This window comes from Homo sapiens, chromosome 21, assembly GCF_000001405.40.
Source record: "Homo sapiens chromosome 21, GRCh38.p14 Primary Assembly".
Taxonomy (NCBI): domain Eukaryota; kingdom Metazoa; phylum Chordata; class Mammalia; order Primates; family Hominidae; genus Homo; species Homo sapiens.
Window position 1 is genome coordinate 40,496,074 of NC_000021.9, and position 16,209 is coordinate 40,512,282.

General features: G+C 38.3%; 1 protein-coding gene across 3 annotated transcripts in view; it reads right to left on the reverse strand.

Moving 5' to 3' along the window:
- DSCAM (DS cell adhesion molecule) overlaps positions 1-16,209 on the reverse strand; it is an 836,160-nt gene that overhangs the window by 485,075 nt on the left and 334,876 nt on the right. The window lies entirely within an intron of this gene.

Consider the following 16,209-nt stretch of genomic DNA (forward strand, 5'->3'; position numbering starts at 1 on the left):
TTAATGTTGTTAAGATGTCCATATTACCCAAAGTGATCTACAAATTCAATGCACTCCCTATCAAAATGGCATTTTTCAAAGAAATAGAAAAAAATTAGCATAAAATGTATATGAAACCCCATAAGACCCCCAAATAGCCAAAGCAATCTTGAGCAAAAGAACAAGTTGGAAGCATCACACTACTTGCCTCCAAAATATATACAAAGCTACAGTAACCAAAACAGATGGTACTGGCATAGAAACAGACACACAGACCAGTTGCACAGAATACAGAATAAAGAGCCCAGAAACAAATCCACACATTTACAGTCAATAGATTTTCAACAAAGGTGCCAGGAACACACATTGAGGAAAGAACAATCTTAAATAAATGGTTCTGGGAAAACAATATCCACATGCAGAAGAATGAAATTAGACCCTTATCTCACACCATATACAAAAATCAACTCAAAATGGATTAAACACTTAAACATAAGACTTGAAGTAAATACAGGGGAAAGGCTCCATAATATTGATCTTGGCAATGAATTTAGTATGTGACCCTAAAAGCACAGGCAACAAACGTAGACAACTAGGATTATATCAACTTAAAAAGCTTCTGCACAGCAATGAAGACAATCAGCAAAGAGAACCTATGGAATAAGAGAATATATTTTCAAGCCATATGTCTGATAAGGGATTAATATCTAAAAGATATAAGGAATGCAAACAGCTCAATAGCAAAGAAACAAATAGCCTAATTAAAAAATGGCCAAAGAACCTGAATAGACATTTCTCAAAATAGGACATTCAAAAGGCCAATCGATACATGAAAAAATGCTCAACATCATTAATCATCAGCAAAATGGAAATTAAAACCACAATGAGATGTCACCTCACACTTATCAGATGGCTGTTATCAAAAAGACAAAAGATAATAAGTATTGGTGAGGATGTGTATCAAAGAGAACCCTAGTACTCTATTGGTGGAAATTTACACTGGTACAGCCATTTTTGGAAACAGTATAGAGGTTCTTCAAAAAATCAAAAATAGAACTACCATATTATCCAGTAATTCCACTGTTGGATCTATATCCAAAGGCTGTGAATTAAATCAGCGTATCGAAGAGATATCTCCACCTCCATGTTCATTGCAGCATTATTCACAATAGACAAAAATTAGAATCAACCTAAGTGTCAACAGAAGAATAAAGAAAATTTACACAAGTAAATAATATTCAGCTTTATAAAAAAGGAAATTCTGTCATTTGAAACATGGCTAAGCTTGAAGGACATTATGTTAAGTAAAATAAGCCAGACACAAATGACAAACACTGCTTGATCTCATATGTGAAATCTAAAAGAATTAAATTCATAGAAGTAGTGAGTAGAATGGTGGTTTCCAGGGGTGGGGGCAGGGGTGGGGAGTTGGGGAGATGTTGGTCAAAGACGACAAAATTTCAGTCAGACAGAAAGAATAAGTTCAAGAAATCTATCCTACAACACGGTGACTGCAATTAATAACAACATATTGTATTCCTGAAAAGCCCTTAGAGTAAATTTGAAGTGTTCTGAGCATAAAAATAAGTATATTCAGTAATGCATAGGTTAATTAGCTCAATTTAGCCATTCCCCAATGTATACATATAAGAAAACATCCTGTTGTACACAATAAATATATATACATTTATTTGTCAATATACAAATAAATTGTTTAAAAAATAAAGTTAATTGGGATTGCTTTTCATAAAGATCAGCTTGCATACATTTGCCTTTGCAGAGTTTTGCATCACTAAATGGAAGCTGATTTCTAACTTGTATTTCCAGCTATGAGAACTGCTATGTTGGAATTGGTCAAAATAACGTGGATTTTGAAACCACTAAAATTATGAAATATGAAGTACTGGATTTCGAGTATAATCCAACAGACTCATCAAAGTCTAGCACATGGTAGGTTGCATAGTAAAGTGTTAAGAGTATGGATTTTGGCATTAGATCTGGGTTTCAAAATCTGCACATGTCATAACCTTTCTGTGTCTCGGTTTTCCTCATTTATAAAACGGGAATAATAACTCTGTGTCATTGGGCTGCTTAAATGTTTGGCACAGTGCCTCCTTCACAATGAGAGTTCAGGACATATCTCATTTTGTTGCCAGGAGGAATTACTATTGTCAATTGTATATGAAGGCAACAATGACCCACCATTACGAGCTGAGTAACCTTAAAGAGCTCACTGTATTTCAGTGAGCCTCAGTTTGATTATCTAAAAATGGGAATACGCCACACCTGCTCTGCAAGACTGCTGTGAGGACTAAACAAAGCAATGCGTATAAAAAACCACACAGTGGCTGGCCCATGGGCTTCCCTTTCTGCTGTAGATGGGTGTTTTAGAGACAACTTCCCTAGGATTGGAAGAAAGGTGGTAGAAACTGACTTCTGTATAAACCAGCAAGATTATAAAAACAGCTGCCTGGCATTGTTCAGGATTTATAAGCACATGTATTTCACATATACCTATGTAAACATGAATATATATACAGTATGTGTATATATATATAATATGTATATATGCACTATGTATATATATATATATAGTGTGTGTGTATATATATACCCATATATATATATATATATATATATATATAGATATATATATATGGGTGTATATATATATGGGTGTGTGTATATATATATATATATATATGGGTGTATATATATATATGGGTGTGTATATATATATATATATATATATATATATATATATATACCCATCACTGACAGATATATGAGAGAAAAAATATGGTACATATTATAAGAGAGTAATAAAACATTCTTACAATTCTCAAATAGAATTTTAGAATCCACAGAATTTCTCAATGCTAAGAAGGGAGATTAATTTAAACACAAGAGAATTTCTCATTATAGCAATGTAATACGCAGCTCATTCTTTATCATGTAAGAGAGCTGGAGCTATAAATAATGCCTTGTAGTATGAGTAATAATTCCTGAAAAAAATTAACTGGAATGAAGCAGGTTTTTAATACAGTATTCAATGAAATCATCTAAATTTACCTAAGCTAGAAACAGACTACTTTGAAATAAGTGTATGAATACTTGCAGACTATAAAAGATTGAAAAGATTACTACTATTTTATCTGTTTATGTGGTCATATACCACAATAGAGTAAAACACCATATGTCAAATATCTAGACAGCTATTGAGGAATCTAGCTCAACAATACAAGTGATCCTAGCCACAAGATTAAACAGTTCTGACACAAATAGTCCATCTCTTCACAGGTTTCTCTCTTGCTCTTTGAATACCTCAATCAGACATTCAGATTAAAGCAAACAAAAAAACCAAAACTCTACTACATATAGGATGATAGCAGCCAGAACCTTCCAATCTGTGCCAGCCTCTAGATGAAAGATCTCTGTTCTTATTTAAGAAGGCACTCACCAGCAACGCATGTGTCTCATTTACTATGTGGGACAAACTATGATCCAACGTGCCCATTAAGTTTCTGGGGAAAGTTTAAGAAATAATTAGGGAATTTAACTTTACTTTTCTCTTGCTCTTTTCCAAACCATATCTAAGACAGTTGGGTTAAAGAAGCAGAAATGCAATTAAATTTAGCAAATATTTTTTGAAAACTTCTCAGATGCATAGAAGGAAGTCATCCAAGTGTCTGTGCTGGAGGTGAAGATCTGAGCACCCTTCTTTTTTTCTTTTTCTTTTTCTTTTGGAGACAGTGTCTCACTCTGTCACCCAGGATGGAGTGTAGTGATGCGATCTCGGCTCACTGCAATCTTTGCCTCCTGGGTTCAAGTGATTCTCTTGCCTCAGCCTCCTGAGTAGCTGGGACTACAGACACCCACCACCACACCTGGCTAATTTTTGTATTTTTAGTAGAGACAGGGTTTCACCATGTTGGCTAGGATGGTCTCGATCTCCTGACCTCACGATCCACCTGCCTCGGTCTCCCAAAGTGCTGAGATTACAGGCGTCAGGCGTGAGCCACTGCGCCCGGCTGAGTACCCTTCTTTAGGAAGAAAACTTCAGCAGTACTGGGAGGGAGGAGGAGAAAAGGGAGATTGCAGGAAAAAAGTCTCAGGACAACACATGATTTGCTTCTTTTTGCCTTTTTCCTAAATATTTATGAAATAGTTTCTAAATATTTTGTTTTTTAAGTTTTCTGAAGAAAGCCCTTTAAATACATATATTTCATAAATACAGGATTTATGTCTTGTTTTATGAGTAACATAGACATTCTAGTAATAAACTGCTTATTTCTGTAGTCTATGTCTTTATGTCTTTCAACTGATTAAGACTCCTGCTTCTATTAATTTTTCCAGAAACCTTCCAGGAATAAATATCTGTTTTAAAAGAGAGATTAAGTGACCAGCAAGACCTCACTATTGAATGTCAACTTAACTATTTTCTTTCCAAATCTTACTTTTCTTTTTCTAATTCACAGCTTCATGGATGCAGACGGTACTCTTGACCTTGGAGATCTACATCATATTCTTCAGCATATTAAAGCTCCAGAAGGGAAGAGATGGCACCTTCAAGCTCAATCATTAATAAAGGGGCAATTTACAAAGCCAGTGCAGTACCCAGGGGCTAAGAGCAGCTCAAAACTGTCATCTTCCCTAGGCATGGAGGGTTAGTGGGCAGGAGTGGTTTCAGAGCAACCTGAATGGGAAGGAGCAGGTGAAACAAAATCAACTCTCTAACGATACTGCTCTTCTGCCCTATAGTCTCCTGCTGATGCCTCCCATTGTGGAACCTGGTAGGAAGCCCATGACCTGGGAGCCCATTGAGGCAGCCAGCCTCCTGGGGCTCAGAGCAGGGTGAAGACAGGGAAAGAGTGGGCTTGGAGAGGCAATATGGTAGGTATGCAGCACGAGGCTTCTCTTTTTAAAGAGAGCAAGCTCAAAGAGAATTTCATTGCAGAGATACTCCAAACAATATCTATTACTGCAAATATTACTTCATACAGCCTAAAGGTAGAATTAGTAGTCTCTTCTCAGCAGGGTTACCATATTTAGCTAATACAGGACACCATTTCAATCTAAATGTTAGTTACATAATGCATAATTTTTAGGATAAGTATGCTCCACACAATATTTGGAATATACTCACACTAAATATTATGTTTTGTTTATCAGGAATTCAAATTGAACTGGGCATCCTCTATTTTATGTGACAACCTCACCTCTTTGTATATTAAAATATATATTCTTCAAATACATATTTGAAGTATTGTTATTACTTCTGTCCCAAACACTAGAGGAAATGATGCGTTTCTACCCAGGTGTGTTATATTTAGTATTATTCCTGTGAGCTTTATATTTGTGCTCCCCTTTTCAATCTGTGTCTTGAGTCCTCCATTTTTAAAAATTATGCTCCCTACTTTTATTCATTGTGATATATAAAGACTGTCTCCACAGAGAATGTACTGATTTCACTGAGGTCATCCATGAGCTGCCTCTTTTCTCATGAGAATAAATTTTTAAAGGCATTAAGCTTCGTATTCTTTTATTTTTTGTTTTGAGATGGAGTTTTGCTCTTGTTGCCCAGGCTGAAGTGCAATGGCACGATCTCTGCTCACAGCAACCTCCGCCTCCCGGGTTCAAGCGATTCTCCTGTCTCAGCCTCCAGAGTAGCTGAGATTACAGGCATGCACCACCATGCCCAGCTAATTTTTGTATTTTTAGTAGAGACAGGGTTTCACCATGTTGGTCAGGCTGGTCCGGAACTCCCGACCTCAGGTGATCCACCCCCACCTTGGCCTCCCAAAGTGCTGGGATTATAGGCGTGAGCCACAGCGCCGGCTAATGGATTATTAATGTTCTTTCCGGCTGCAGTGATTTTCTAATTTTGCTTTTGAATTGTATATATCTTGAAGAACTTAGAAGGTTTCTCATTCTTTCATATATCTAAACCAGGGACTCTTAATCTGGGGCCTGCATACCCTCTATGCATAAAATTCAGGAAGCTCCCTGAAGCTGGGTATAGGAAAACATTTGTTCTATTTTTCACTAACCTCTAACTGAAATTTATCATGTTTTAAAATTATTAATATAGGCAACAAACCACAGTAGTATTAGTACTGTGACTTCATCATCAATAAAAATTACTAATATTTTCAAAATCACATTTCAGATATAGCTCTCTATACATTTTTATTGACACTAATAACTTCTTAAAATTTGCTATGGACACAAATCTAGTGTGTCATTTAATAAATTAATCAAGAAGAACATATCATACATCATGGATTTTATCTAATTTGATAACTGTATTAGTTTACTATTGCTGCTGTAACAAATCGCCACAAACTTGATGACATAAAAGAATACCAAGGTATTATCTATAGTTCTGTAGGCCATAAATCCAAAATGGGTCAAGCTGGGCTAAAAGCAAGGGGTTGGCAGGCCGTCTTCTTTCTACAGGCTCAAGGGGAGAATCTATTTTCTTATTTTTTCCAATGTCTAGAGGCTGCCCAAACCCCTCGGTTCATGGTCTCCTTCCATCTTCAAAGCCAGCAATGGCCCATCGAGTTTCCCATTGCATCACTCTGACACGGGTTCTCCCGTCTCTTCCTTCTACTTTTAAGGACTCTTGTCATGACATTGGACTCACCCAGATAATCCACAATAATTTTCTTATGTCAAGGACAGCTGAGTAGCAAACTTAATTCTATCTCCACCTTTAATTTCCCCTTGCCATAGGACATAACATATTCACAGGTCTGGCAACTAAGCCACAGGCATTTTTGGGGAGTCATAATTCTGCCTAACATATATATTAGTAATAATTTGCTAAATGATTTCCTTTATAATATTATGTATAATTTTTTTTATTTAACAAAACTATCCTGAGGAGAGTTCCATGGGCTCCATGAGTTTGCCAGAGAGCTCTACGGCACACAGCAGGTTAAGAACGTCTCATTTGCGACAGTGATGCTGACAATTAGAACCATAGCATTCCTTTAAGGAAATATCTGCTACAAAGTCACTTGCATATGTTCTCTTTACTTCCTACTTCCCAACGTTACGCATTAAGAATATCTATTATGCTACTTTTACAGAAGAAGAAACCAGGGTTTGGAGAGTGATCTGCCAAAGGCCACACTGCTGATGGGTTGCAGGGCTAAATTCAAAGAGCGCTCCACCGACCTTGGAGCTGAGGCTCCCATGCTTCAAGTCTTCTTCGAGCATTGCCCTGTATTCACTCACCGCCTGATATGCTTCGACCAAGAGGATATTAGTACCAGATGAGTATCAGCCTACACTGTTTATTCCCCCTCTTATGGATGCATCTGACCAGACTAGAAATGTTATCTTTGAAAAACAAACTCTAGCTACCTCTGTCCCCAGCTTTCCTGCATTATCAGAGAAAACTTTATTAACATGCACTTATAACAAGACTAGCACATGTTTCTCCCACCAACTGTTGTAGCTAGAATGAGCAAGTGAGCAGGTGGCAGTGCTATCAAGGAGCTGTCAGATGCCAACTTCACGCTGCACATCCGCTGATTTTCAGTGGGTTACCTTACCTCAGGTAGCTACAAGAACTCTCAAACAAAAATACACTGAAGATCTGGAACACAAATCTTTAAGTCATTAACATTCGTCTCTTTAATTTCAGGGCTTACCCAGGGTCCTATTTTCTCTGGATTTCTCAAGCCACAAAGATTAAGATCTAGCTCTGATTTTCATGTATTTGTTTGATTTGGTTTTGGTTTTAGTTTTGGCTGGATAGTATCTTCACTGTGCAACTTGGAACCGTATTTGACCTGGTAATTCAGGTCTGAATTGGCACTGATTTACAGCCACTGTGAATTGATGGTCATGGGTTATCATTGTAGTTGGTCATTTCTGCTAGTTCACTGACTAGTGGAACCTCTCTTCCAGGCTTTCATCAGAAAGATGCTATTGGATATTTCAAAAGAGCACCAGAGCTCCCCAACAGTGGCTCATAAACGTTTCTGGTAGAACAAATCCATGGGACACAATATCTCACCGTGACTCACTGTTCTATCTGGCCAGCTCTAGAAATGAACAGTCTGAGGCTTAGAACATTGAAGGAAAGGAAAGAGAAGAGAAGAGGAAAGAAGAGGGGAGGAGAAAAGAAGAGAAAAGAGGAAGAAAAGAGTGGGGCGAGGAGAGAGGAGGAAGAGGATTTGTTTATCACTCAATAACACCAAGTCTGTACCAGGGATGTTGGCCGACTCCTCAGCCAGGAGGGCATCAAGAATCAGGTCCCAGCAATGGTGATGGCCACGGGGCACACAGCTGTCCCTGCCTTCCCTGTTCTCCATGCCTTCTCTAAGTCTGAGTACTTCCTCCTGCCTCAGCCCTCCCTCGGGAGAACAGTCCACCTGTCACTGAGAACAGAATTCTCGATGTGGAATACTGTGGTTAGCGGGCATTACATTAAAATATACAGGATACAACAAGCTTTAACCTGTCAGCATGGCATGACACTCGTTTTAGAAAGCAAAATAAAAAAAGAAGAACAACAGAAAAACTACATAGGCGATGCGAAAGGCTCAAATAATGCGTGACACAAGATGTTAACAGCTGTTTAAGACCCGAGCTGTGCAACTTCTGGGGCCGCTATCCATCCTGTGTTCCAATGGAACCTGGACTCCCCCTTGAATGGTTCAATACAGAGGACCTGATTATGGATCTCTGGGGGTGAAACTGCAAGTGCATTTTATTTATTTTCTCAGTAACTATTTGCAGTTTTAAGACTATCCAGTGGAAACATGCATTACTTTATTATCAGAAAAAAATCTTTTTATTTGTATTTATTCCCTTATTTGTATAGTATACAGATAAGATATAGTAAGAGTTGACTGTCATACCAGCTCTCATGTCTGCCTCTGAGGCTGGAAATCAAGGGCTGTTTATATGGTTCTCTGGTGCTATGTTACTCAGAAGATTCAAAGGAAGACTGAGGCCACCACCAGGTGGAAGGTAAGAGCCTATCAATGACTTGGTTTTGTGGTACTGTGTCCCACCTCCTGGTTGCCCATTTTTCACAGGTAATTGGAAATAATGGGAAAGCCTTAAGACAACTTTGAGAATGAGTTAGAAAAATCAGTGGAAGTGGATTTAGCCTATCATCACTCACACAGTACAGAGACTCAAACCGTGACAGGCAGCTGGGTTCAAAAACTGCCAGAGATTCAGCACAGTTTGAAAATGACAATTTTTTTGTTGTTGCAGTTTTACAAAGGAAAACAGGATAGAGTTATTTCCATGTAGTTGAGTATTGTTACATGCTAAAAGATTTCTTCCAGTTATTTTTAGCCAGTTTATTTGCTGTTTGATAAGAATAGGAAAGTTTAGTGAAAGTCTTATGATTCACAGCATTCTGAGAAAAAAAAAAAGTCTGGTAAATTCTAAGAAGAAGTCTACTAGTCAGAGCTTTCTCAGTCCCTTTACAACAGCTGGTGGCTTGCTTAAACTGTCTTATGGAATTTCAGACATATCTCTAAAAGGTAAATACTATAATGAATGTCCTACACTTGATAAACATTTGGAGTGCCTTAATTTTCCCACCTGTTTACAGGGACTCTTACTAAGAGAACAGGCTGTTGCTAAGGTACAGGGTGGCTGTCAGAAACTTCTAGCTTCAAATATGCCAATTAAATTACTCTTTGGGGAAGCTCGGCTCATCACGTAAAATCACTCGAGGAGTTACTCTATGATTGTGATATGCAGTGCTTCTCATTTAAAATCCCACTACACTCCCCATATCCAGTCCCTCTGTGTGTGGTGATAACAACATTCTTGACTTTTAACACTTCGCCAACAACTCTATTAATCAAAGTGTGTGTCTACAGGAGACAAGCAAAGTAGCTGTATCTGACTCATTTTCATTCAAGAAAATGTTCAAAATGATGCAAAGAACCACACACACACAAAACAAGATATAAAGTCACTGCTGCAAAGTGAACCACGGATATGATACTCTTAAACTGACTTGTGCTTTTTTCCAGATTCTTAAAGATTTACTGAAGGAACTTTTTTACTAACGCACTTCATGCTTGCATTTCAAAAATGTGTAACGCATTTTATAAGCTACTCTGTTAATCTCAAAGATGAATGAGCATCGGCTAGGCTTAGCTATCAACTGATCTGAAGCCCATGCACGAGGGGACAGTAATGACACTCATCCCACCTGATTTTGAGATAAGCAATAAAGAGTGAATATTCTAGCAAATAAAATCTTCAATTTGAAAGGTTAGATGCCATTTCTCAGAATGTGCTACTGCCTGGGACGTCCATGATGAACATGAAAAATACCAGTGGGAGCCCCGGACTCACTGACTTCACGGAGGAAAAGTAAAACAAGCCAAGGTTGTTTTTACCACTTATTTGCTCCTTCTTGCTTCATTGGAAAAATCAAGTGGCTCAAACAAAATCGGCTTAATTCAGATATAAAGTGCTTAAATGGTATTTGATAACCAGTGACCCCAGATTCAGGAGAGTTAGCAGCCCTTTCACATTTCCAACACCACACTGTCGAGTTTGTATATATGGCCAAAGAAAATGTGGATCTGTGATGAGGACTATGTGTCAAGATTATTTAAAGCAAAGAGCGAGTAACAGTCGTTAGGCTGCAGTAAGAGAATTCAGGAATCACTAGGTATATCCAGGAAGAAGCGTTTTTAAAACTGTTACATTGGAAACATCAGATTGGTGGTTATAAAGGGAAAAAGATATATTTTATCTTATTGTGTTACCAAAATATCAACTTTAAATATAATACAAAAAATATTGGTCTAGTGGTAATCAAAAGAGGAAAAAAATATTTTGCCCTACTATTACTAAAACATAAATCACAAATACAAAGCATATTATCAGAGAAGTTACACTTTGATTGGAAAAAAACTTTCTATGTTAAAATAACAGCCACAACTTGGCCAGGCCCAGCGGCTCACGCCTGTAATCCCAGCACTGTGGGAGGCCGAGGCAGGCAGATCGCAAGGTGAGGAGTTAGAGACCAGCCTGACCAACATGGTGAAAACCCATCTCTACTAAAAATACAAAAATTAGCCAGGCATGGTGGCACACACCTGTAATCCCAGCTACTCGGGAAGCTGAGGCAGGAGAATTGCTTAAACCCTGGAGGCAGAGGTTGCAGTGAGCCGAGATCACGTCACTGTACTCCAGCCTGGGTGGCAGAGCTAGAATACATCTCAAAAATAATAATAATAAAAATAAATTTAAAAAAACAGCCGCAACTATTCAACACCAGTAGCAGATTTCAGAAAATAGTCCTATGCATCATTAAAGCATATAGCTCTTCTATTTGTCTTACGGGTAAAAAATACGGCATTTACAACTTTACATACACACTGCTGTATTTCTATAGCAGGCAAATCACGTACTCTAATGTCCATCTTACATTTGTGAATATAACTTGCATCTACAGCTGGATGTGGTGACTCACACCTGTAATCTCTGCACTTTAGGAGGCTGAGGTGGGCGGATCACTCGAGCTCAGGAGTTTGAGACCAGCCTGGGGAACATGGTGAAACCCCTCTCTACAAAAAACACAAAAGTTAGCTGGGCACGGTGTTGTGCACCTGTAGTCCCAGCTACTCGGGAGGCTGAGGCAGGAGGATCTCTTGAGCCTGGAAGGTGGAGGTTGCAGTGATCATGCCACTGCACTACAGCCTGGGTGACAGAGCACAGCAAGACTCTGTCTCAAAAAAATAAATGTATAAATAAAAATAACTTACATTCACAGGAGACTGTTGGAGCTGCCCTCTGGACAGCCTATCACAGAGCAGCTTTCTCTGTACCCCCTCGCCCCTCCACTCCTGCATACAGACCCTTTTCCTGAACTGCTCTCCTAGAGCACCAATCCCTGGACCTTTGTAACCAAAACCCACCGGTATTTGCTAAATGTACCTGTGGAAAAATGGGTACAGTTGAGTCACTTTTATTTTCCTAAGTGGAGCCACCCTACATGGAGAGAGTATGTTTAATCTGGTTGTAGAGAAGGGGATGGAGTATGGACGCAGTGTGGGTCCCAGCAGATTCCATTCTAGGAATTTCAACACTGATTTATTTAATTTCTGACTCACACTGTCAGGCAGGGAAGAAACCATGAACTGTGAGTATTTACCATTCTGAGTCACTTCTATTTGCGAAAGCAAATCACCATTGCTTTTGTAACTTTTAGAAAAGAAATAAATCAATAATGAAATTACTAAAATGGAATATGCTGACAGCCACACTGCACCCACACTTTAAATGGGAATCAATATGCTATTTATAAATCAAAAAGAGAAGGGAAAAGATCTCAAAAGTCTGTTTTTGGATTATTAGAATAACTCTATTATGTATTTCAAATGCAAATTGTAATGGTAAAAAGATCCCAAGCATAGGTTAATTGAAATCAAATTAAAAATGTTAACTAAACAGTTTGGCATTTAAATATGGAGACAAACAACATTTTAAAATTAGTATTGCTGTTGTTGTTATCATCATTATTATTATTTAAAGATAGAGTCTTGCCCTGTCGACCAGACTGGAATGCAGCGGTGCAGTCATCGCTCTCAGTAGCCTCAAACTCCTGGGCTCAAGGGAACCACCTACCTCAGCCTCTTGAGTCACTCAGACCACAGGTGCAAACCACCACACCCGGCAAATATATATATATATATATATATATATATATATATATATATATATATATATTTTTTTTTTTTTTTTTTTTTTTTTTTACTTTTTTATAGAGACAAGGTCTCTTTATGTTGCCCAGGCTGGTCTCAAACTTCTGGCCTCAAGTAATCCTCCTGCCTAGCCTCCCAAAGTGCTGGGATTACAGGCATGAGCCATTGTGTCCAGCCAGAAAAACAACATTTTGACAAAAGGAATGATGGCAAAATGCTACATTTCTAAGGTAAAATTTTGGTTATTAAAAATTTTAAATTTGGTAAAATGGCCTGAACATGGATGAGCTCCCTAATACCTAAAACACAAAGTTATTGTTGTTTCCTCTTTGTACAAAATTGCAACTTGTGCAGTTGGTTTTTTTCTCTAAAATTCTGCATATTTTTGGAAGTTGATGTCAGTCCGTGAGTGTCACTTGTTACACAAGCAAGGGAAGAACTTTCATCAGGCCCTCAGTTTCCAAGAGCACAGTCATTTGCAGCCATAAATTCCAAGAAAATAAAACAAAGTAGAATTCAAAAGGAGTTCAGGCAGTGAATCCTAATGCCCAAGATGTCAAACCTCTCTAATCTTTCCTACTCGTATATTGATTAGCAAAGGGTCTTTTTCCAAGACCCTTTTCTTTTACACTGGAGAAATAACGGCTAGATCCTTGCCAAGTGGCCAAAGGAGATTTGATTTTCTATTTTTCACTGGGAGGAGGTGAGGGGATGACAGCTCCCCATTGTTCCTCTCACTCAGAGCCTGGGGCCTGAGCCTGGTTTTCCAAAAGGCCTGTACAGTACTTTCACCCCACTGGCAAATGCCAATATGCAGTGGGTTCAGAATGATGAGGAAAACCAGACACAGACATGGACCCAGTCAATAAGCAGCATTTCACACACAGTGACCACTAGCTAGTAAAATTTCTATGAAAGAACTCATATGTAATCACATTAAAAAACAGGAACGAGGCCCAAGCACAATGCCATCCTACTCTGTGAAGTTATAAAAATTTTATACATGCATTCTGAAACCAAACAAAACTAGAACAGAAAGCAAACTTTATTACACATGCTTTGATCTTTCTCTAAAAGAATCTAGGCTGGGTGAGGTGGCTCATGGCTATAATCCCAGCATTTTGGGAGGCCGAGGCAGGCGGATCACGAGTTCAAGAGATGGAGATCATCCTGGCTAACACAGTGAAACCCCGTCTCTACTAAATATACAAAAAATTAGCCAGGCGTGGTGGCACACAACTGTAGTCCCAGCTACTCAGGAGGCTGAGGCAGGAGAATCACTTGAACCCAGGAGGCACAGGTTTGCAGTCAGCTGAGATCGCCCCACTGCACTCCAGCCTGGTGACAGAGCGAGACTCCATCTCATAAAAAAAGAATCTAAAATTGTCCCCCCCCAAAGCACTCTAAAATAAATAACAAAGAAAGCACTATAAAATCACTAATGAGTATAGCCAGGTCCAATATAGAAATAAACACTATATAGGCTAGGCTTCTAAAAAAAAGACTATGAAATTGAAGGGAAAATTTATTAATTCAACAGAGATAGCATTTTTATGAGGAATTTTCTAGTGGCATTTTAGATATGACTGGTTGTTACATTGTAATAAGTCCACCTTTTAGGAATTAATATACATCAATTTTTAAATAATAAGTTGCTCAAAATGTTAGTATTGTTGACCAAAATTAAGACTGTTGAGGTTTGATAATGGTTTGATAAACATTTGTTCGAAATCAAACGTGACGATTGACAAAGGTTTATTGAAAACTAAATGTGAAGATTGACTCAGGAAGTCAACAGAAGTTGGGTGTGTTCCAGAGTCAGCTAGGAGTTGGAAGGCCTCTATAAGAAAGTTTAGAAGGAAGAGAACTCCTCACACCAGAGCTGTCCTTTTTCATTGGAGGGTACATTACAGAAGTTACAATCATTGGCTACAGATGGCAACATACAGGTTAAAGTGTCCATGTGCAAGACCATCAGCCAGACTTTCTTCCCATTCTGAAACAAATCAGGATCCTTTTCAGTGTCTGTAAGTTACATAGTAAACAGTATGCCAACAATTGGAGAACTCCTGATAAGACCCTACCCAGGGACCGCATGTTGCCATGAATCACAAGACTTCTGCCAGATGGGTTAATTTGGAAGCCTGCCAGATCTGACCCATAGGTTATCAGTATTGTGCTTATTTACGTATTAGAATAAAAGCAAGAAATTTATGTTTGAGAAAATCATGTCATGTTTCTTTTATAGTTTAAAAATTCTACAAAATTCCTGACCTTTAAAAAATGTATCAGACTTGTTTTTGCACTGTTCACATATGTGTTAATAATAAAGGTTGGATTTATTTGGGAGAATAATAAAATTATATTCATTTGTTTAATTCTCTTCATGGTATGTTGCTTTATAGTTCATAAAATGCTTTCACATTTTCTCAGTTACTTTTGAGAAAAGAGGAAAGCAGAACAGATATGATACTATCCTTATTTTATAGATAAAGAAATAGGAATTTTGCCACAGCCCTCAAGTTAACAGGGCTGATAAAAAGTGACATTAAAAATATATTCACATATAGATAAAATTTTAAATACAAGAAATTCAGCTTAATGTAAGTTATTACATTAATTTCTTGATTAGAGTATCCATGTCACAGCTCTTATTGAAAACAAATGTCATAAATTTAGCATATGTTACTTAATAACAAAAATATTCAAAATGAATGTGATTGTGGTTAACTTTATCATTTCTCCAAAGAAAAGGTTTCCTTGACTACAAACATGGAAAAGATGAAACTAGAATCACTAATGTTGTTTTCAGTTCTAATATTCATGAGTCTACAAATTTTATAATTCTTTATAGAGTAAAGTTACAACCCTGCACTTCCAGTAAAACACTCTCTTTGCACCTCTGCCTATACATAAGTCACTCTTTCACCAACCTACAAAAAGTATTCTCGGCCGGGCGCGGTGGCTCACGCCTGTAATCCCAGCACTTTGGGAGGCCGAGGCGGGTGGATCATGAGGTCAGGAGATCGAGACCATTCTGGCTAACCCAGTGAAACCCCGTCTCTATTAAAAATACAAAAAATTAGCCGGGCGTGGTGGCAGGCGCCTGTAGTCCCAGCTACTAGGGAGGCTGAGGCAGGAGAATGGCGCGAATCCGGGAGCTGGAGCTTGCAGTGAGCCGAGATCGCGCCACTGCACTCCAGCCTGGGCGACAGAGTGAGACTCTGTCTCAAAAAAAAAAAAAAAAAAAAGTATTCTATTTGAGGTCTTGCTTTTGGGGGAAACACTTGCATGCAAAAAGCTTTCTCCAATGAGAAAGGCAAGGGAGATAGGTTACACTGTTTTGCAAGAAGAGAGTGTGTGTGTTTGCAGGAGGAAATTAACGTAGCAGTGATCTTTCCCTTCCAATTATGCATGATTCAGCGATTACACATAAGAAGAAATTCCCTTGCCCATCTTATCCTGAGTGAACCTTGTTCTTTCTTACAAAACTGAGTCTATTTTCTTTCATATCTGTTATTCC